Here is a 23,286-nt window from a genome sequence, read left to right on the forward strand (position 1 = left end):
AAACAAAGCTAGTGCCACAAGACAAAGGTCCTGGAAATTTTCCCTTCTCTCTCTCTTCTTAAGGCAGTTTCAGCTTCAGAGTAACCCTAGAAGGAGGAGTATGCTCTATGGTGATTGACCTCATAGTCTTTTAAAGCCAGGGAAACTTTAGGAGGCCAGGCAGTCTTGGAGTGGGTCCAAAGATTCAAGTCTATCAGCTGGTAGGAGGGTAAATGAACCAGCTTCCGAGATGGGGACTCCAAGTGACATTTATCCAGACACAAGCACATAATATCGTTCATTTCATCAATGATACATATTCTTGTTCTCTGTTATTTATTTTCTTTCTCCATGCATAATTTGTTAGAACTTGGCTTTTTGTTTACTGTTATGAAATAAATATTAAGATTTAGCTATTGCTTTTTCATTTTAGCAATTTGTGTGTTTTATGAAATTATTAATCAGGTATAGGCTATTTCTTTTTACTGTATTTGAAAAGCACCAATAACTCCATTTAAAAATTAACAATGAACTTTTCTAGGTGTTTCAAATAACTCCTTTAATATACTTATTAGTGATGATGCAAGTACAAATTAATTTAATGAATCATTTTTGAGCATCTTCCTTGGGATAAATATTCCTCCAGAGAGACTATTCTTCTCATGGCCAGCTGAACTTTTACAAGATAGAAAGATGCATACGTAAGTAGGTCTCATACATGATGGAGTTTCTGGCATATGAGACTGTGAGCTGTGTGGAGATATATTTAGTCTTAAATTCACCTCTTAGAAGGTTTCTAGTAGGAGATGGGATTGGATATAGACCATTCAGGATAAATGGATAGAGCTTCAGGGGTCACCATGGGAGCAGAAGGCATCAGAGGGATTAAGGTTGGCATGCAGAGAAACATGGACTGAAAGTGAGAACGTGGTAATTGGAGGGAGGGGACAGTGGGGAGAGGAGTATAACAGTAAAAGGTCTCAAATGGTAGGTAGGATTTACAATGGCCAATTGAAGAGTTTTGTGTTTGAAATCTACTCATTGTACAATGGGAAATTACTAAAGGGTTTTGAGCAGTGAAATGACTGGAATAGATCTCTTTATTTCAGGAAGATAACTCAGGTATCAGAGCATAGGATGGATTGAAGCCGAGGGAGACAGGGAATCAGGAAGCTTGGTTAAAAGCCTCTTACACGGTGGCAGTCACAGTGGAAATTTATAGATCATTTGGGATATAATAATATCATCCTCTTTATAGAATTCTTTAATGTTTAACAAGCACTTTCAGATACATTATCTCACTTGATATGAATGTAATTGGTATAATTGGTAGGACATTGTGCCATTCTCTGGAGTGAGTCACTGGTGATCCTTAAGGGAGTGTCTTCTCTGGGAAGGTGAAGATGTAGCATGGAACACAGGGAATCAGAGAAATATCCAGGAAGGAAAAGAGAAGGTAGCAAATACATACAAGTCCACAGAAGTTGATAACTTGGAGGGAAGAAAGAAGAGAGAGAAACAGAGGATGATCGCTTGAAACCTGATTATTTATTGAATGGTGAAACTCTTAAATTTGTTAAGACAAGGCAGTAATTGACTCTAGACATTTTCTCTGAACAGATTAACTCAGTGCCTTGAGTAGAAATAAGAGGAAATAGTGCTGCTAAAAATGATTATTTTTTTTAGAGATTAGAGTCACAACTTAACTAAAACAAGCAAACTTTTTTAAAGGAGGATTTTAGTATATTTATAGTTTCAGGTTAATCTTATCAAATGCCAATATGAAAACTACTTACTTCATTCACCTTTCAAAGCCTTGTATTTGTCATTTTTACAGTGAACACATGTACTATTGGGACATTTCAGCCAGCATTCTGCCAGTACACAGGCTTTCTTAACCACAAGTTCAGATTACTTGAAGGCCATCATATTTATGTCCATAAACTAGCATCTTTGTAAATTGCTTACAACTTGTATTTTATATAAAAATAGTGTAATGGAAAATAATGCATAGATTAGGCTTCTCAGAATTTGTTTAAAAATTGACTTTGGCAGTTTTCGTTGTTGCTGTTTTTGAGACGGAGTTTCACTCTTGTTGCCCAGGCTGGAGTGCAATGGTGCGATCTTGGCTCACTGCAACCTCCACCTCCTGGGTTCAAGTGAGTCTCCTGCCTCAGCCTCCCAAGTATCTGGGATTACAGGCATGTGCCACCATGCCCAGCTAATTTTGTATTTTTAGTAGAGATGGGGTTTCTCCATATTGGTCAGGGTGGCCTCTAACTCCCAACCTCAGGTGGTCCACCCTCCTCGGCCTCCCAAAGTGCTGGGATTACAGGTGTGAGCCACTGTGCCTGGCTAGCTTTTTCTTTAATTCATGAAAAATACATAGGATTGTTTACTCTATGTCTCTTAAGATACATTAAGATACATGAATTGGTAAATTAATCAATTACTAAGTTTAGGAAAGAGAGAAGGCAGCAGCTGTCAAGACTGAAATGTAAGCATATTTTTTCCTTATGTAATGAAAAAATATAGACAGTTGTGCTATATATGAGTTGAATGCCAAACTTTTGTCTATTTTAAAAGTATGACTGAATCGATTTTCAATAGAAGTATTTGGTTACTGTAAAGTTTCCTTTGATGGCTTTCAGGTGGGGAAATGACATGTAATGGTTTATATATATAAATACATTTATATAAGTATGTTATATGGAAACATATATGTATATGTGCATATATGCATCTATATACACACCTAAATAAGGACACATATAAATGCATATATGTAAGTGCATATATATACACAAATGCACGTGTATATTTCATATATATGCATTTTTTTTCCTGCTGCTAAAAACTGATACTGCTTTATTTTGAATGTTAAAAGATTACATCCTTTGGAAACATCATTATGTTTAATTGTAGCATATATTCTGGGTATTTTGAGCCTGACATTTTCCTGCCTCCAACATAAAGGACAGAAAGAATGCCGCTTCTTCCTGTGACCTGAATACACTGTCAGCCCTCTCCAAAGGGTTTGGGCCCAGTTAGAGCAGTGAAACTCAGTTCAGCACATGTTTGTTGAACATTTACTGTGTGCTCCACACTCTCCTTGGTCTTTTTTAATAAATTCTTTTTGTCTTTGAAGAGTTAATCTGGTTACAGATATGAATTGTACCCTGGTGGGAGCATACCAGAAAAGAGAATAATAATGTAAATGCTAGACTATTTGGATGAGATTTTAAGTCTGTGGAAATTCAGAACAAGGAAACACAAAGACATGAATTCATTTTTTTAAAAAAGTCTCTGAGCATGTGAGCAGCACTTCTTCCTTTTGAACATGGATGGACCATTTGCAGTTGCATTCAGTATTACGAGCCTCCTTTGTGTCCCTCCCCGTCATTTTTACTACATTCAAGAAACATAACAATAAATAACAATAAGCCTGTATTACTCACTTTAGGTTATTTGGTTAAGGAGAAGCTTGAATATGGAAGTTTGTTGGTTTTTGTCTCCAAAATGCATTTAGGGTTCCCCAGCATTCCACTTTATCACATTCAAAATAATTGGGTAAGTAGGAAAAGATATAAGCAAAATGTGTATGTTAAAACACTCTTCTTATATGTTCTGTTCAACACCAACCACTAGAAAAATGTCACATAATTTCCACAGTTAAGTCTATCCCAACTTGAGCCTTAATTTTTGGTGGTAGCAGCTGCTATTTTGCGACAAAGGTAAACTCTTGGTGCCAAAATTTCCAAGAATGTTTAGGATGCATATGATTTTTGGCCACTCTGGAGAATTTTGAACGTAGATGGCAATGCTGTCTGAAAAATGGATCCCTGTGAAAGAAGCATAAAGCGTGAAATCACATTTAATTAGCCAAGAGTGGCTAGTGTATGTTGCCATTAAATCCTTTAAATTACAGCACATCTGGGCACCGTCCATCCCACAAGAATGTATCCAATGATGCCTCTGTCTTACCTGTGAGTCCAGCTTATTTTCTCCTAACTTCTCATTACTTTTTAACTATTCAGTATTCTTGGCATAAGAAATCAAGAAAACACAAGATGCTTCCATGTTTCTCAATAAATTATTCAAAATGTTATACCAACCCTTCCCCACCCCCAAAATGGCAAAATGCCCATAAGAAAGTATTTCAATTCCCTATTTGGAAGGAGCTTTTCAAGACATCCTCTTTTACTTCACATTTTAAAATTAGAATTCTATAGCATCTGTCAATTTGGAGAGGGAAGAAAACACTTATAATTTTTACAAACATCACAAGAGTCTAAGTTGTATTAGACTTGATGGCATTCAGGCAAGCAAAGATCAAATATTCAGCCAAATAGTCTCTCTGCTAATGATAATGACATATAAACCCTTTTATGGTGACATGGGTTGGGTCTTCTACTGGCAGAGGAAGTGTATCTTTATGCGATGAGTTCTCACTCTTAAATACAAGGGGAGTGCTGGTTTTTAAAACATGAGGCTTTGAGACTGTAGTACACAGTTTGCTGGAGATGTGTTTGGGTGATTGCGCTACTGGGGAAAATGCACTGAAAATAGGTCATCAAGAAAAGATTGATATAGACTTTTTTGTGTGGAAGTAATTATGCTTGATTATTGCAGTCTGTTACAATTCAATATGCCAGACTATGAAGTTTCAGTGAGAAAATATTAATATGTGCACATATAATCCTACCTGGGATCTGTAGACTGGAGTTTAAATTCCTACTGATTAATCCTCACAGGTTCTTTATCTGGTATTCAGTAATAAAGAATGGAAAGTTTTTTATATATCATATATGTTCTTGTTCATTCACTTAAAAATCCCAAACACATACGTTAGTTCATCAAAAACACAGCTGAAACATTCCACTCTATTAAATGTAACACACACACACACACACACACACACACACAGCCGTAAAAATAACAACAAACCCATCTACTATCAGAGTAGGAAATCTTCACCAGCCTACTTTCTTGCCAAGATATATACTGTTCAATAAACACTTTATAATTATTACTTATTTGACATAAATTATTGCCTAAGGCCAATGTTAAGAGACTTTTTGCAAGTTTATAGCAATGACTGTTGAAATGATTTAAGGAATCGGATTCTTAGGACTTTCCTTTTACATAATGTATTTCTGTAATTCTCAGAAGGCAATTCTACAACTGACTTTAATAACAAAACACAATACAGGTATGCCAGGGTCCCCATCCATGGAAACCTTTGAGAAAATAATGAACAAAATTTTATGTTTTTTCTACTCATCAGGGGAAAGGACCTATAGGTTCTTTTGAGTTTTGATGTCATGTGATACTCTTACCAGGGCATGCAAAGTGCTTCAAAACCTGAACTCAAGCTACCTGTCCAGCTTTACTTGAATCTCCACACGTGTGCTCCTTCCCTTTGGCTCAATCTTTTCCTCGTCTTGGGGTGGATTTGGGCCCCATGCATTCCTGTTGTCTTTTACTTTGTCTGTGCTAACACATCATTGTCCCCTTCCACAGGAAGGGAAACATCATCTCACCCATGATGGCACAGCACTCACATTGCGTGTCTGTTGTTTCCATGACTGTATCTTCAAGGAGTCTGGTCTCCTCATGGGATATAGCCACTGGGCTCTAAAGACTTCTTGCTCATATAGTAGGTGCTCAGTAAATATTTGTGGCATAAATGAGTGAGTGAAATTACTTCAAAAGTGATCACTTGAAAAATAGAAAATACAATCATTTCTGCCTAATCAAATGTTAAACGTTGCTACCACCTCAACTAATTCTGTACCCCCATTTGGCAGAGTAAGCAACTCGAGATCACATTTGCAGCATTTGGAATTAGAATTCAGTTCACCCTCAAATTCACTCAATCTCTCTTAATTTTTTTATTTTAAAAAAAGGTAAACAGAAAGTAGGTCAATCAAATCACATTCTCATTTTAACAGGTCCAAGAGTCTATATAGATTTTGAACTGAATTGGCACACAATCATGGACAACTTCCTAAGGGCTTTTACTCATGGCATTCAGAGTTTTAAGAAAGAAAATTAAGTGATTGGAATAGAGTACAATAGTGAATGCAGAAAAAGGGAAGAAAGATGACTGTAGCCAGAAACACGAGAGAAAGAGAACTATAAGTTTCTTTATTCTAAGTAGCGGTGGGAGAATCTACTTTTTGGCCTGCACAGCGGATGCACCATTTCTATGGGTAAGTTTTCCCTGTGTTTCCTGTCAAGCCGGGGTTTTAATGAAACAAAAAGATACCGGATCCCTCTCGCTAACACCTCTTCATCCCCCCAACACCCCAGCTAGTGCCAGCCAAGAGCATTTCTCTCAGTTCCTTTTATCCCTTTCTACCAAGAACAAGATCTGAGATATGTGAGATCCTGTTTGATTCAAGCTTGGAGAAAGCACTGTATATTTTACAGCCATTGGTTACCTGTTGCTGTCAATAGCTGTATTGTCAGCATTTTATCATGGATTGAATGCTTTAAAATTTTTGAGCAGCATAAAAGATTTGTAGAGGAAAACCTATTTTCCTTAGAAACGAGAGACAGTGTTTTTTGATGCTTCAAAGTCTTAAAAAATGTAGGAATATTAGAGTTATGCCTTGCCCTGCTTGGTGGGTTTTGAGTGACATTCTGAGACCATACATTTTGTGTCAAGAATCGAATCAATTTCTCTTCTTTGGGCTGCTGACATTGTTTAGAGTATAGATGAAGACTCCCCAGTAAGACATGTAAAACAGTAAGGGACTGTGAAAAAAATAGATTGTGAAAAATAAAAGTCTATCAAGATGGGGCAAACGTTTAGGGGAATACTATCAAAGGTAGTGTTATGTTCAATAAAAGATGGCTGAAATACTTATGAGACTAATAGACAAATGGAAATTATTTACACAAACTTCTGTAACTGCCCAGTTCTGTGAAAAACAATAGGAAAATCGAATTCAGAAAACACTTATCCCTGTCAGAATTAGAATTAGGATAATGGATCCACCAAAATATGTGATTGCTTACACTGAAAGAATAGCCATTATTTTTAACTTAGGGTGAATTTGACTAATATTGAATAATAGGTGATTTAAGAAATTATTTTGAAATGTTTGTTTTAATATGCCAGGACAAAATGTAATTGTTATAATTTAAGAAATACATAATTAAGAGAAAACAACACATCTGAGGAAAGTAATTACAGTGCTCAGATGTTAATTAAGAGACACTAAAAAACAGACTACTTGTTGAAATAGTGATGTTTGATAGAATATTAGCTATGTTATTAAAAGCTTAAAATCCATTATTTTATTACATAATAGCTAAAAGCAGCAATATTTGGTCTAATGAAGAATTGGCAAATAGCTATAAGGAATGATTAAGGCTTCTGCAGGACTTAATTTGGATAAATCAGGTTTTAAAACACAATTATATAGGGAATGAATTAAATTATTGAAGTTTTAAAATTATGAGCACAGAAAGGAATTATATAGGTTTAAAATTAATTTTTAAGAATGAATACTTTCATCCCACTTTCAAAAGGCTTTATTTTTTAAAAAAAGTATTTAAAATGAGGCCTGAGTCAAACATTTCAGTATGAGAAGCCTTGCACAAAATTTAGCTATTGTAGTTATGGTCCTTTGGAGACGGTATTAGTCATAAAACTATGTATGGTCTTTGTATTAGGATAAATTTACTTTGGCTTCTGAAGTTTTTGATAAGGATATATCTTCTGTGCAAAAGCAGAAAGGGCTGTAAAATACTAGAGAATGTAGACAAAGGTACCATAAATTACTTTGGAAGGACTTCTTGCCATCCTGAAGCAAGGTTTTGTGTGAATGTTTACAGCTGACTGTCACATCTTTAGTTACAAAATTCAATTTTGTTGCATTATATCCATTCATAATTGAAACATTGGTGTTTTATTTCAAATTACTAGCTTAGCATATGATAAGTTAATCAGCAAATGTGGTTAAAATAATAGGTGTTTCTTAACATGCTATTATTTCTACCATTAGAGAAAAATAAAACAAAACCAAAAACTCCTCTCTTGACTTCTTCCACATTTCTCCCCTTCCATTGCCTGCTAAACTTTTGGGAAGAGTTTTCTATAGTCACTATCTATTTTCTCTCCTGTCCTTTGCTCCTGAACTCAGTTTAAAAAGGGTTCTGCTCCCACCATTCCAAAACAAAAAAAAATACCTTATCAGTCTCACCAGTGCCTTTGACGTTGGTACATCCAATATTCAGTGTTCTTGGTCCTCACTTTATGGACCTACCAAGAGCTTTCAATTGTTATCATTGTGTCATTCTGGAGATGCTTTGTTCACCTGACTTCCGGGATGCCATACTTGTCTGGCTTTCCTGCCATCTCACTAGCCACATACATTGTACTCCACTGTCTTCCTCAATCTCTTTTTCTAGTTCCTTCTCATCCCCCCAACTTCTAAACATTGTAGTCCTGAGAGTTCTTCCTTGGGCTACTTCTGTTTTGCATCTACACTATTTGCATGACTATCTCATCCCTGTATTCTCTACATTGATAACTCCCAAATTTGTCTTTCTAGACCAGAAGTTGTACCTGAACCCCAGTGTCATATATTCAACTATCCATTTAGATATGTAACACAGTTCTCAAACTTGACATGTTCAAACTTGATCTCCTGATCTTCCTCCCATCCCAACTCCTACTTCCACTGTCTTCTTTATCCCAATAAATAACAACTGCACTCAGTTGTTTAGGACAAAAACCTTGGAGCCACTTTTAATTCTTCCATCTCTCTTACAGCCTACACATAATCTTCCATTGCAAATGTCAGTATTGCTCCTGGGTTACATTTTTTCATGATCTCCATCCACTGCTACCACCTATCCACACTTGCATCATGTCTTCTTGGGTTATTTCACTGGCTTCCCAGCTGGTCTCCCTACTTCACCATACAAATCAGCCAGGGTGATTTTGTTCAAATGTAAGTCAGATTATGTCACTCTCCAATTTCTTGTTTAACTCAGAATAAAAGCCAAAATCTCTACTCATGAAGTGTCCATCAAGCCCCAAATGCTCTGGCCTCCTATTATTTCTCTTTTTATTTTTTTAAAAAATTACTTTATTATTATTTAGAGACAGGTCTCCCTCTGTCACCCAGGCTGGAGTGCAGTGGTATGATCAGAGCTCACTGTAGCCCTGACCTTCTAAGCTGAAGCAATCCTCCTACCTCGGCCTCCTGAGTAACTGGGACTACAGGCATGTGCTACCATGCCTGGCTATTTTTTTTTTCTTCAAATTTATTGTAGAGACGGAATTTATCTATGTTGTCTGGGCTAGTCTTGACTTCCTGGACTCAAGTGAACCTCCTGCCTCAGCCTCCCAAAGTTTTGGGATTAAAAACTTGAGCCACCATGCTTAGCTCTCCTGTTACTTCTTCAGTGACCTCCCACTCCACTCTCCCCTCACTCCCCTCTTCTGGCCTCACTGTCCTCCTAGCCTTTCTGGATCACCAAGGCACATTCTTTTCAACGCCTTTGTTGTTGCTGTTCTCTCCATTTGGAATGCCTTTCTTTTATAATTATTTATGATCCACTTCCTCACTTCCTTTGGTTTTTGTTCAATGATACTTTTTCATTTGAGGACTTCCCTGGACACACTGCAGTGATATTGCAACCACCTCTCTTCTCAAATGTCCTCTGTCTTCCCCTCTTTATTTTTCTCCTTAGTTCTTATCACTCATGCATTTTTCTAAATTATTTTATTCTCTATCTCTTCCCATTGGAATGTAAGCCCCTTGAAGGTTTTTGTGTTTGTTCACCATGGAGCCCCAGACCCTAGCATAATGCCTGGTATATGATAGGTGCTTAGTAAATATTTGTTGAATAAAACAACCTCTTTTTTTTTTTTTTTTTTTTTTTTTTTTTTAGTTTGATTTTGCTTGAATCCTATTTTGGCTGATATCACTGCTTCTTTTTTTAGCTTGTATTGCCATATATAACTTGCATTGTCATTTTATTTTTGACATTTTATGCAACTTTTTATTAATGTTAAATGAACCTTGCAAACATCATATAATCACATTTTTTGACCTTGTCTGAAATCTTAGTTTACTTTTTCAACATTCTTTCTTCATCTTGTTTGATTTTTCATATTTATCCATACTAATTGTGTTACATACTCTCCAGTTTTTGCTTTCTGCACTGTCTGGTCTTTGCATTTATCGTTTCTAGGTCACATTTTTAATTATTCTAGACATTAACTAGTAAAATGCCTTAAGTTTTTTTTCTGTCATTGTCAAAAGTGAAGCTGTTTTCTGAGTCCTGCACTACAGCAGAGAAGAAATGCATTACCACCCACCACCAGCAGCTTTCTTCCAGCTCCCTCTAACTTCTCTGTCACTGTCATTTAGTAATGTAAATACAAATTTGTTATTTTAAATAAAGAATGTTCTTAAGTTTTTTTGTTTTTTACATTTTCTTTGGATAGTCATACAGCAGCCAGCCTAACAAAAATTATTTGTATTTTTTATGTCTTAGCGCTTATAGTTTGTTGCTTTATACCATAATTTTAGCATTTGGGGTTGGGCTGTTCCTTGAAGCAATTGTTTGAAGTGTTGTTAGATAACTTGTTTTCTGTGTAAGACATATATGTTATGTCTTTTTTCTCTTCACATGTGCAAGACAACCTGGATGCAAATAAAATTATTTGGTTACAACGTTTTTTCTTACAAAACATATGGTCCCTGCTTTTTTATGTTATGGCATTTAGTGTTACTGAGAAAAGAACGGAAAGTTCCACCTCAAGGTCACTTCTTTTATGCCAGATTTGGCATATTTGATGGCTGCAAGAGGAGGTGGGGTGGTGGGATAGGAAATCTTCAAAACTTAGTACCTGCCTGGTAAAAGGAAGAGACACAGAACTCTGACTAGTTGAGGTATTAGACCATAAGAGTATTTTAATTTTCTCTCCATCAACAAAATAATTAAATATATTAAAATTTATGTATTTGAATCTTTAATATTTAACAAGATTATTCACAAGTATTAAATTTGGCTTTTCAGTTTCACCATTTAAAGGGCAAAATCATTCTGCCTGATATATCTTAGAGTTCTTCAAGCATCTCATATATATATATATATATATATATATATATATATATATATATATGTAATGTTTATATAAATGTCTTGCAGTGACTCTTAAGAAAATAATCAGTTCTCCATAATAAGGCAGTTAGGATTTACCTGAAAATAAAGATAATATATCAAGACTTAGCAATATGCTAGCTTTTCAACCAAATATATCATTTTCTGCATGGTAGTGGGTATCTTTGTTTTTTTGAAAAATATTTTTGTGATTAGAAAATTATACACAATCATTGCAAATATTCAGAAATAACAAAATATATAAAATAAAATTTATCCACAATTCCATCAGAGATACAAATTTTTAACATTTTATTTAACTTCTTTCCTGGCATTTTTCTACATGCACATATATACACACAGAGAGGCAGGAAGGAGGGAGGGGGAGAGAGAGGAAGAGAGAGGTGTACATTTTTAACAATGATTGCCCTATACAAATGGCTTGGTGATCTGCCTTTTGAATCTAAAATATACTGAAACTTTGTCATGTCGTTAAACATCATTTTTAGTCACTGTATCAGTTAGAATATAGTTTGATTGCATGCCCAAAAAAACCCCAAATGGCTGTGTGGTTCAAACAAGAATAGATTTGTTTCTCTTTTCTTTTCCTTGTCAGTCCAGACTGGTGGACCTCTCTTTTACAAAGTCAGTCAAGATGGTTTGCACCGTGGTGTCGACATCCAATGTTCTTTTATCTTGCTCCACTGTCTTGGAAGTATTACTCTCTTCCATATTTCCTGGTTAGTTCACAATCCTGTCAGTATTCTGTCAAATGAAATGGAGAAATGGAGAAATGGCAAAGCCTGTGTATTCCCTTTACAGATACAATGCAGAAATTGCACTCTTCAGTTTGCCAGAACTTAGCCGCAAGTCCACAAAGAAGACTGGAAAATTTAGCATTTATTCTGGATGGCCAGGTGCTCAGGTAAACAATTTGTGACTGTAGAAAAAGGGGGAAATGGTTATTGGGGAGCAATTGGCAATCACTGTCAAACTAGTATTTCATTAAAATATGTTTTGACAGGTTTTTTTCTGTTATTCACCATGCATTCATGAATATTCTTACATTTGGTTCCCCTGTAACAACTTCTTAATGATAGCCAAGATTTCCTAAATATTTATAGGGTTCCAGATAGTATTTTAATTATCTTGTATGTATTTTTTCAACTGAATATAATGATATTATTAGGTAGCTACACTTCTTTATCCTCCTTCAGGGATATGACTGAGGAAGTCTAGACTTATAATAGGTTAAATGAGAAAGTGTTGAACAACCCGATCGTGTGCACAGGGCTAGTAAATGGTTGATTGACATGAGACTCAGATCTATGTCTGAATTCCAAGTCCTTAACTCCTACTATCTAATCATTTTTTAGAAAAAATTTTTCGAAGGATAAGTTCTGCCACAAAGTTAGGCATATTTCTAAGACTGTTGATTCACATTGTCAAACTGCACTCTGAAAAGCAGGTGCCAGTTGGTGCTCCTGTCAGCAGTATACGGAAGGACCCCTTTGCCAAAACCCTTCCCAGCATTAAATGCTTAACATACCAAAAGAACAGAAACACCACTCTAATACACCACTAACTAATACATTAGTTGACATTTATTTGATGAATAATATGGTTGAACATTTACATTGGTATTTATTATTGTTTCCATTTCTTTTGTGAACTGCTTTTTGTACAAATCTTTTGTTTAAATTGTGCTTTTTTTTATTATTTGAGAAGGGATCTGCCTCTGTCACTCAGGCTGGAGTGCAGTGGCATAATCTTGGCTCACCACAACCTCCACCTCCCGGGCTCAAGTGATCCTCCCACCTCAGCCTCCTGTTTAGCTGGGACTACAGGCACGCACTTCCATGCCCGGCTAATTTTTGTATTTTTTGTAGAGACACGATTTTGCTATGTTGCGTAGGCTCACCTCAAACTCCTGAGATCAAGCAATCTGCCCACTTGGGCCTCCCAAAATGTTGGCATTGCAGGTGTGAGCCACCACACCTGGTCCTAAATTGCCTTTTATCCCATTCAATCATTGCTCTTTTGCTTATAGATTATTAGAATTCTTTGTCTTAAGGATATGTAGTTTGGATTCCCCCTGACATTTCCTTGGATTTTGATAGACTTTATTGGATTTGGGGGAAGGTGTATTATGTTCATTGTCTTTGTCATATATAATTTTTTAGATAATTTTGGGATTTATAACTATGGAAGTGGATAGATTTTAAAAGTGAAAGATACGCTAAATGTCATCATAGTTAGTTCTTACTTGAGAGTATCACCTTAATTTTAAAAATGATAATCCCTCTCTTAGAAGAGAAGACAGAAGGAAAATGTGTCCTCTGAAGGCTTTTATTTGCATAAATTGTTTATATCTTTTGATCAACAATCTTTAGCTATTTTGATATCCAAATGCTTTAAAAGGGTATATTATTTCTTTCTCTTCTAAAACAGAGGATGTGCCCCTGGTTTTTGGAGCCCATAAAAATAGGCATTGGCCTGAAAGTCTGGCTGTGACCCTAATGAGAAAAATAGCTATGACCTGTCTCTCCTGTCTGTTCTCTTCTAGTACTGTTTCCCCTACCCTCTTTAAGTCTTGCAGGTGTAGGATAATCATACTTATTTCTCTTTTTTGGGAGCTAGATTATTGAATTGTAGGCTTTTAAGAAATAAGGGGACTTCCAGGAAGTTGATAGTGTTGGGTAGAATTGATCTCATAAGCTAATTAGAATTTTTGCAGCCCATTTGCAACAAAAATAGCAATGCCCTTTTTCTTAGATTTTTATTAAGAGAGATGTAAAATAATATTTTAAAGGAAATGTGAACTACAGGAGAAAGTAAAGATTTTGTTTATTACAAGTTGTAAAGGCTTAGTTTATAAATTATTTTATTGTAAACATTGCTACAATTTTATGAATCTTCTAGTGTTACACACTAGAAATAAAGATCTCTCATTCGTAAAGGATCATATGAGAGTCTTCAAGACGACTCAGATTGGCCTTATGAGGAAAGGATATAAAAGGCGTTGGCAGCCTACAGTCTGTACACTAAACCGGTTAGGAAAATAATTGTCAGTGAAATGCAAAAGACCAGATCCTTCAGATATTAGGCAGTTCTCAAAGAAATAAAAGTTTGGCTTAGCATCTTCCCTCTTCCTTGATGTATTCTTCTCCTATCCTCCCCAGATACATATTATTTCGTTGCACTTGGAAGGTTAGAATCCCCCTTTCTGCCCCTTGTCTGGGTCCTCCTTCTCGCCAAGTGTTACCAGGCTCCCTAGTCATTCTGCCTATTTTCCCAATCAAATATCCATTTCTATGAGTATTCATTTATAGATATATTCACTGATTATCTGATCAACGTAATTTATGCTGGACTTTGAATTTCCAACCTTCATAAGGACATATGTACATTTTTAAAAAGGAACACATTAACAGCAATGATTCTGTAATTGATATAGAGTAGATGTTTTAAAATTTTATTGTGATAAAAACACATAACTTGAAATCTACCTTCTTAAATTTTTAAGTGTACAGTATAGAATTGTTAATTATATGCACGTTGTACAGGATCTAACTAGAATGTCTTAATCTTGTATAACTGAAACTCTATATCCATTGAACAACTTCTCATTTTTCCCTCTCCACCAGCCTTGGAAGCTACCATTCTATTTTCTGTGTCTAAGAGTTTGCCTACTTTAGATACTACAGCATTATTCACAATAGCTGAGAGATGGAAACAACCTAAATGTCCATTAATGGATGAATGGACACAGAAAATTTGGTATATGTATCAATAAAATATTAATCACCCTTGAAAAACGGAAGAAAACCCGTCATATGCTACAACATAGATGAACCTTAAGAACAGTATGCCCATCCTGGCTAACATGGTGAAACCCCGCCTCTACTAAAAATACAAAAAATTAGCCGGGTGTGGTGGTGGGTGCCTGTAGTCCCAACTACTGGGGAGGCTGAGGCAGGAGAATGGCGTGAACCCAGGAGGCGGAGCTTGCAATGAGCCAAGATCGCGCCACTGCACTCTAGCCTGGGTGACAGGGTGAGACTCTGCCTCAAATAAAAAAAAAAAAAGAAACAAGAACATTATGCTAAGTAAAATAAGCCAGTCACAGAAAAATAAATACTGTATGATTCCACTTGTATAGATTAGATGTTTTTGAGGGCTTGGGGTGAGATATTTCTGGGGTGAGATATTTTTCATTGCTCCGTGCTTATGGCTTTAATCTATTTTTCCCTCAATTGGCAATTTGCCTTAATCTCTAAATTGTCAGTGGGTGTATTTGATAATGAACATTTCTTGTACAAAGAAAGAGACTAGCTTGGTTTGTATTGTCCTTATTAATAATAACCATTTCTCAAGACAATCATAGTACCAGACACTTTGTATTTGTGTTCTCATATAATCTTTATAATGCAATGATAGACACTATTGTTGTTTTTCTTGTTATTATTGGTCTTTTAGCTTCCTTAAAGTCATAAGTGGAAGGTAACAGAACTTGGACTTGAACCCAGGTCTACTGATTTCAAAGCCTCTGCTTTTAACCTCATACCCTTCAGTGATAACGGGCTTTACTCATAATAATGGTGGAGATACAGTTTGAAATAGGTTTGACATAGATTTAGCGTACACATTCCTAAGAACTAGTCTCTATGGAAAAAAAAATGTAACATGACTTCTTCAAAGCCAGAATCTCAAGTTTTTTACATTGATACTGTGGGTTCGAGGCTTTCTGCTGCCATGGTGCTTTCAGAGTATGGACATTTGTTCTTGTTTTTCTACCTTGTTTTATACATTCCTCTATCCCCACAGCCCAGCAATGCACGATGCTATCTGGTTGGTTAGTCTGCACTCTCTGTCACTGCCCATCTTAATATACATATTTCACCAAAATCCCTCCTTCTGCTAGCTAGAAGATCTTGTTCACTTTCTCCACTAAGAGGGAAACCTGACCCGTGGTCTTCCTGCCAATCTCACAGCATTACTCTACCCAAAACTATGCACAGCAGCTTTCTCTCCCTCCTTTCCAAGGTTGCATGTAGTGAATATATTTACGGCTCCATGGGCAGAGTGAGTGATCAAGAAACACTAAGTGATTGTGGTGGCCAGAAATGCAGAGGACATCATGGTATATATAAGGCAAAATTATCCATTGATGACTTATTACTTATTTGGCCATTCAACTAGAGTTTTTAAGCACTGATTCTTTTCCCTAAAACCTTATTATATCATAATGGATCCGTTAGATAATCTAGTTTAAATTAAAAGAAGGAAAAAAGAACTTTGCCCTCAGGAAGGAGGAAAATAACATCCTACCAAATGTAGAATGTACCACTTCGGTGGTACATTTAAATACTACAGTAGCAGAAAATGATACCTGATAATGTATATAGAGAGCTATCAGTCCTCTCGGTGCAAAAACAAAACAGTAAACCATGTAAGTACTTAGAGACATTCAGGAATATGTGCAGCTCTCATAAGTTTCATCCTACTCACTGAATTCACTTCAGAGAAGATTTCTTTTAATTGTAGAATAATGTGATGGGTTTTTTTTTTCATGTTCTATGAATGATTCTATGCTGTGGAACAGCCTTCAATGGAGAAATTCAGAAGAAGCAGGATGTGATGTTTTCACAATCCAAAAATGCTGTTGTTGCATACACTCCAGAAAGCGGCTCTGCTGTTAAAGGAATTTCTTGGAAATCTTTTATCTGCTGTTTTGAATAGCTGTAATATAAATGTAATAGATATTGTCTCCATTGTATTCAAATTGTATTTTCTAGAGAATGAGAAGATGGAGTCTGATGTCAGCCTTCATTTTTTTTAATATACTGTTTTTCTTCCCTGCCAGAATAATGCCAACTTCATGTATGTTGTCTACACTTCCTTCACGTAGATGAGGGAATTATCTTGAATATGTTTCTTTTGAGGAAATTGAGAAGTCTGCTCAGGGAGTACTACTGAATGCTTTGCTTGCTAACCTATACATCAGAACAAGGTGGTATATCTGCTGCTCTAAGAATAAGTACATTTTGCTACAAAGAGAAGTATTTCATATACTTACTTAAAATCTACCAAAAAGTTCAGGGAAGCTCTTAGTAAGTAGCTGAGGTTACTTAGCTTCAGGGGAAAAAAGCTAGAACAGAGTGTGTGTTCAAGAAGTAAAATAGGGCATGGAATCACTAATGGTGGCAGTGCATGAGGAATTGATATGAGATGAGACTACAGAAATAACTCAGCAAGTCCAGTGTAAACTTTTATTTATTCATATATAAAGCCTGATATTATTGCTGTAATTTAAAGTATATTGCTATAATTTAGATAAAATTTTTCCATCACTGCTTTCTTTTCCATCTCTCAGCTGGTCTTATTATTCAAGTCCCAGGACAGTAAACATTTTGTAGTTTCAAAAGCCCTTCAGTACTAATGGATTTTTTTTTAAAACTAGTTGTTTTAAATGAAACTGTAATTATGAGAACATATCTCTCTTTTCTTCCTTTTGGCAAATTCCACTAGGCATTAAAGCTTATTACCCAGTTCAAATCGATTATATTTATTTTCATTCATGACTCACAACGTTTCTACCTTCTAATACTTGCAAGTATATTCATATGTGATTTCAAGATCTCTCAAGTACATTTTCTGTATCTTTCCTGCTTTGTCATATTTGTAATATTTTATATGTAACATAAAATATATGGAAGATAAATTCTGCTAACTATAAAAGTTCATATTTTTTTAAGTTATCAGAAGTTTTGTTCTATATATCTTTGAAGTTACTGAAAGCTCAGATTTCATTTGAACAGAATGGTATTGTAGGGACATTATCTAGTTTCTTTCAGGCTATCTCTCTCCTGAGAAAGCTTGAGTCCTGGAGCTCTTTGGAATTACAGCTGAGCACAGAGAAGATGGGAACTTGGGACAGGTGAATACCCATGCCCTAGACCTGGGGAAAGGACCAGATCTGATTGGAAGACCCTATAGCTCTGTGCAAGTCAGACTGGGGCTATGGAGCAGCCTTCAACTGGAGGTTGACAGATCCCTTGAGAGAGTATTACATGGTGTTCACGTATTCAGAGTTCCTTTTATGGACTATTGGAGACCAAGCTTGAGGCCTTGGACAAGAGAGAGTTTTTAAAGTACAGGGAAACTCTAGCAATAGTATTTATGCTTAGGAACTAGTTCTCTAATAGCAGTGACCACTGTTTCCAGTGGCTAAACCTAGGGGCCTGCAAAGCTATTGGAATGGACACAGATCAGTTTTCTGAAGAAAATTCTGGCCCAGTCAATAGATACTCTCATGGCTGAAGCCTGAGCAGATGTGAGAGGGTCAATTACTGAGACAGAACAGGGCACGAGAATAGGTATTGAAACCTGAGAGACAGGTTGAGAGCCTGTATTTGGATTTCAGAGTGCAGAGGTCAAGTTTGGGAGCTGGAAGAAGGAAGAAACATGACCAGGGAGAAGGTAAGCAGAAGGGGTGAACTGAAACTAGATGCTGAAGACACAAGGTCATAAACGTGAACAAGGATCAAAGCCCTGGCAACTCAAGAAAACTGCTCAACCCAGGAGAGGCCGCTCACCCTTTACAACAGAATACAAACTTTGCCTTGTCTCTGATACCTTTCTGTCTGTCCCAGGAAGGTCACTCCTTTTGTGAAATCACGCTGTTTTGATGTGCCTCTTCTATTTATTGGATTGGATCCCATTGATGGTTTAGAACCCATTCTATGGTAATTGTTTATACATTTCTCTTCCCATTCTACTCCATGAAGTCCTCAGCACCAGAGACTAACTTACCACATGATATGTAAATGATGTACAATTGGCAAAGAGATCTTGAGAGTCTCTGTATCTGTTTGTAGGGGGAACCCACCAACAAACAGCTTTGATATAGTGGTTCATCTCTAGGATATAGATAAGGGTAAGTCATGCTGCCCAATTTATTCAGACGCCTCTTCCTGCCTGGCTCTAAATCTTTGCAGTAGGAGAATGACATAGGACCATAAGGACGTACCTGAAGCCAGAATATGTTTATGTATTCTTTTAATAGGCACTGTAAAAGGCACTGTGATCAGTGTTTGGGATGCAAAATAAAACAATGAAATCTCTACCTTCAAAGTCTAATAATAAGTATGATGACCACTGTTTCTTGTACATGAACGATGTGCCAATCACTGCTGTTTTCCATTTATCATGTAGTTCAACATAACAACCCTGTAAGACTTATTATATCCATTTTACAAATGAAATAAGGCATAGGGAGGTCATATAACTTGTTCAATATCATGTAGCTGCTAAGTAGGTGAGCTTGGATTAGTGTGTCTGAATTCAAAGAAAAAGAATTTTAGTAGTATATGTCCTGATCTATGTACCCCGTTTTCTGTTTCTGATATTTAACACCATGAATGCCCTTAGATTCTGAGTGATTCTTTGTTGAGAATGAAAGTAGTAACAGAGAGCAATGTTATAAAAAGCCCCTTCCATAATTCAAGCAAAAACATTATGCATGCCAGTAATTTCATTTTCGTCTTCACAACCTACTCAAAGTGAGAAAACAGAGCTAAAAATAGGGATGAGGCAATGTTATGTAAAGTTCAGGAAAAATGTAATAAAAGCCAGATTTAGGTAAATATTATTGCAGAAAAGATGTATTTTGTTAAAATGGCCTTAAAATCTTTTCTGTATGTTTGTTTCAAGATATAAAATATAGATCACTTTTTAAAGAAATGATTCAGTGACTATTACACAATTACAGAGTTACCAAAAATGTCTTCACTGTTAGTATATTCTAAAATTTGATGAAGTATTACACAAGTCAAATCAGAATTTATTTATAATTAATCTCTTGATATTTTATTACAGATTAGTGTTTTTAGAATGTAACAATTACTTGGCCTTTGATGCTATTTACTGAAATAATTTTTCTAGGAGTTATTTCATAAACGCCTATCAGAGTGTAGAAGATTATTTTATTATCCTGAATAAAGTTTTATTTTGTTTTTAAATGACACATAACAATTGTACATATTTATGGGCTACAATATGATGTTTCAATACGTATATACGTTGTATAATGATCATATCAGGGTACTTAGCATACCCACCACCTCAAACACTTTTCATTCCTTTGTGGCAAAAACATTAAAAATTCCCTATTCTAGCTAATTTGAAGAATACAATACATTATTGTTGGCTATAGTCACCCTACTGTGCAGTAGAACACCAGGATTTATTTGTCCTATCTGACTGTAACTTTGTACCTGTTGGCCAATCCCTCTCCATTCCCGACTGTCCCCGCTACTCTCACCAGCAGGTAGTCACTCTTCTACTCTCTACTTCTATGAGATCAATGTTTTTAGGTTCCAACATGTAAGTGAGAGCATGTGGCATTTGTCTTTCTGTGCCTGGCTTATTTCACTTAACATAATATCCTCTAGGTTTATCCATGTTGTCACAATCACAGTATTTCATTCTTTTATGGTTGATGTTCTGTGATGTATATATACCACATTTTAAAATTCATTTATCCATTGATGGACACTTAGATTGATTCCATATCTAGGCAACTGTGAATAGTGCTGCAATAATAGGAGTGCAGATATATCTTTGACATATTGATTACATTTCCTTTGGATTACATTTCCTTTGGATATATACCCAGCAGTGCAATGGTTGACACATGTGGTAGTTCTAATTTTAATTTTTTGAGGAACATCATGCTTTCTTCCAAAATGGCTATACTAGTTTACATTCCCATTGACAGGGAATAAGAGTTCTCCTTTCTTTATATCCTCACCAGCATTTGTTATTTTTTGTCTTTTTGATAATAGCCATCCTAACTGAGATGAGATGAAATCTCATTGTGGTTTTGATTTGTATTTCTCTGATAAGTAGTCATGTTAGCATTTTTTTCACTTACCTATCTGCCATTTGTATGTCTTCTTTTGAGAAATATCTATTCAGATCTTTGTCTGTTTTTTAATCAAATGATTATTATTACTATTATTTTTACTGCTGAGTTGTTTGAGTTCCTGAACTTTCTTTTACCTATTACAATCCAGTGTCAAGAAGATAGTGTATTAATTTCTTTGTTTAGTTTATTGATCAATGTTTATTGATAATATCTGCCTTCATGCCTACAATGAAGCAAAACCTTATAATACTGCTTTCTGTATTTCTTCAAGATTCCATAGCCATGCAGTGTAATGTTGAAAAATCAGCAGATTTACTTTTTGATGTAGGAGAAAGAAAAAAAAAATAAACAGAGATAACAGCTGTCTACCACAAATTTCCTATTTTGAAAGTTCTATATATTTGTTTAATATGGAACATTTACATGTCATGCACTGGGCTGACTGCTGGGAATATAGAGGAGAACAAGACTGTCCAGTCCGTTGCTTGCATAGAATACTGCTGTTGCACTTAGTACTAGAGCAATACCAATTATGATAGCATCACTTAATTAAGGTTGGGCAACTGTGTTATTATAGTTAGGTACCATGTAACATTGTGATTTTTAAAATGAATTTATCTCATTTGATAAAAATGCATATTTTTTTCTGGCAGGTATGAATTTGCTAGAAATTCTCTAGTTAGACTGTATCAACTACAGTATCATTTATTCACTTAAAAAGCTGTTGTCATGTTCATTATTTGTACAATGAAAAAATGGGAGAGATGCATTTTATTGCAGGCTTCTACTGTTGGTAAAGCACTAGATTTTTCCACTTTGAATTGTTCAAAATTATTAGTTTATCAAACAAATTGAAAGAAAAGCCAGGGTTCTGTTGCTAACTTTTGAATGAAATTTTAAGCATTAAGGCACATCAAATCAATGGAATATAAATATGAAGATTTTTATTTTTTACCCAGCCATTGTATCCAACCAGGCTAGGGTGAATTCTACTTTTCTATCCTGCAATGGCATTCTTTGTGCTTTCGGCTCACTTTGGTTTTTAAAAGTCCATTTCTTTCTAAAAGATTAATCTCCAGGTCAATTCAAACTTCACCTTTTACTCATCCCTTAGCTCGAGTCCTAAAGCAAGAAGAAGAGAGTTAATCCTAGTAAGCCTCTTATTGTTGCTCATTTTTTGGTTGAGAAATGAAGAAAGATATGGCACATAGTATACATTCTCTAAATATCAAATGAAAGCATGAATGAACAAAATAGCAGAATAAATTAAATTCAGTGATTTGCTAAAAGTTAATCTGAAATGTATGCAGGATTCTGTTCCAGTCTTTAAATCTCACACACACACACACACACACACACACACACACAATAGTAGGTGTTTAGACGATAATAAAATTTGAACAAAAAGTTCAAATTACAGTGGAAGACTGCCTTTGAATATAAGTTACTTTTTTTCTGTGTTAGTCTGTGAAATAAGTAAGTATTGAAACCTTCCCTGATAGATCTCCAAATAATTTCCCATTCTGGTTGGTTGGACATGTGCTTAGCAAGAGTGCATGCACCTCCAGTTCCTCCAAGTAGGGGAAAACAGAATGGGGAGACAAGGGAGATTGAGCCGTTTTTCAAGTATCTCACTCAGGAGGCTGGCTGCCAATCAAGGACACCCCAGAAGGAAGACAGTGAAGGGCACATCACTGGTGAGGAGGACTAAGATGGATCGCAGATGGCAGCCTGGAACCAGGCCTCCCATATCAGGGAGCTGTGCAGTGGGGGTGCTCACAGCCTCACTCAAAGAAAGCAGACATAGGCCCCCAAAGATATTCACCTTGTGGACCAGAATCTTCCTGTTCTGGTTTCATGTTCTTAAATGATCATAATTACTATAACAATTATTTTGAGTTTTTAATTTTTGATCTTTTTTGTTTTAACACAGTAAGTAATCTCAACATTTTTTGCCATATTCATGAAGCAGGAAATGTACTTTAATTCCTTATTTATAAAAATGTTATGGACCTTATAATCAGAAGAGACTCAGATGGTCTTATTTAGTAAGATTTGAAAGGATAGATTCCGGGGTTTCTAGAATTTAAATAATAACTTCTGTTGTTACTTCTGTAGTTTCCAGAGTTTTATTGTTTGGTTCCAAAAAATAAGGAGAACTTGACTTAGCATAGAAAACATAACCTTTCATGTCAGCTCTACTTTAATAAATGCAAGCACAATTTTGTTCAGCTACCTAGAAA

At 35.7% G+C, this 23,286-nt stretch overlaps 1 protein-coding gene across 5 annotated transcripts in view; it reads left to right on the plus strand.

Moving 5' to 3' along the window:
* Window positions 1–23,286, plus strand: part of PTPRZ1 (protein tyrosine phosphatase receptor type Z1) — a 188,876-nt gene that overhangs the window by 8,429 nt on the left and 157,161 nt on the right. Inside the window, exon 2 of one of the 5 annotated variants that reach the window (NM_001369396.1) lies at window positions 11,935–12,037. The exons of the other annotated variants lie outside the window; for them this stretch is intronic. Coding sequence (NP_001356325.1) covers window positions 12,022–12,037 — 16 coding nt within the window. The 5' untranslated portion in view covers window positions 11,935–12,021. The remainder of the gene's footprint in view (window positions 1–11,934; window positions 12,038–23,286) is intronic. 5 annotated transcript variants of the gene reach the window in all.

This window comes from Homo sapiens, chromosome 7 (genome assembly GCF_000001405.40).
Source record: "Homo sapiens chromosome 7, GRCh38.p14 Primary Assembly".
Taxonomy (NCBI): Eukaryota; Metazoa; Chordata; class Mammalia; order Primates; family Hominidae; genus Homo; species Homo sapiens.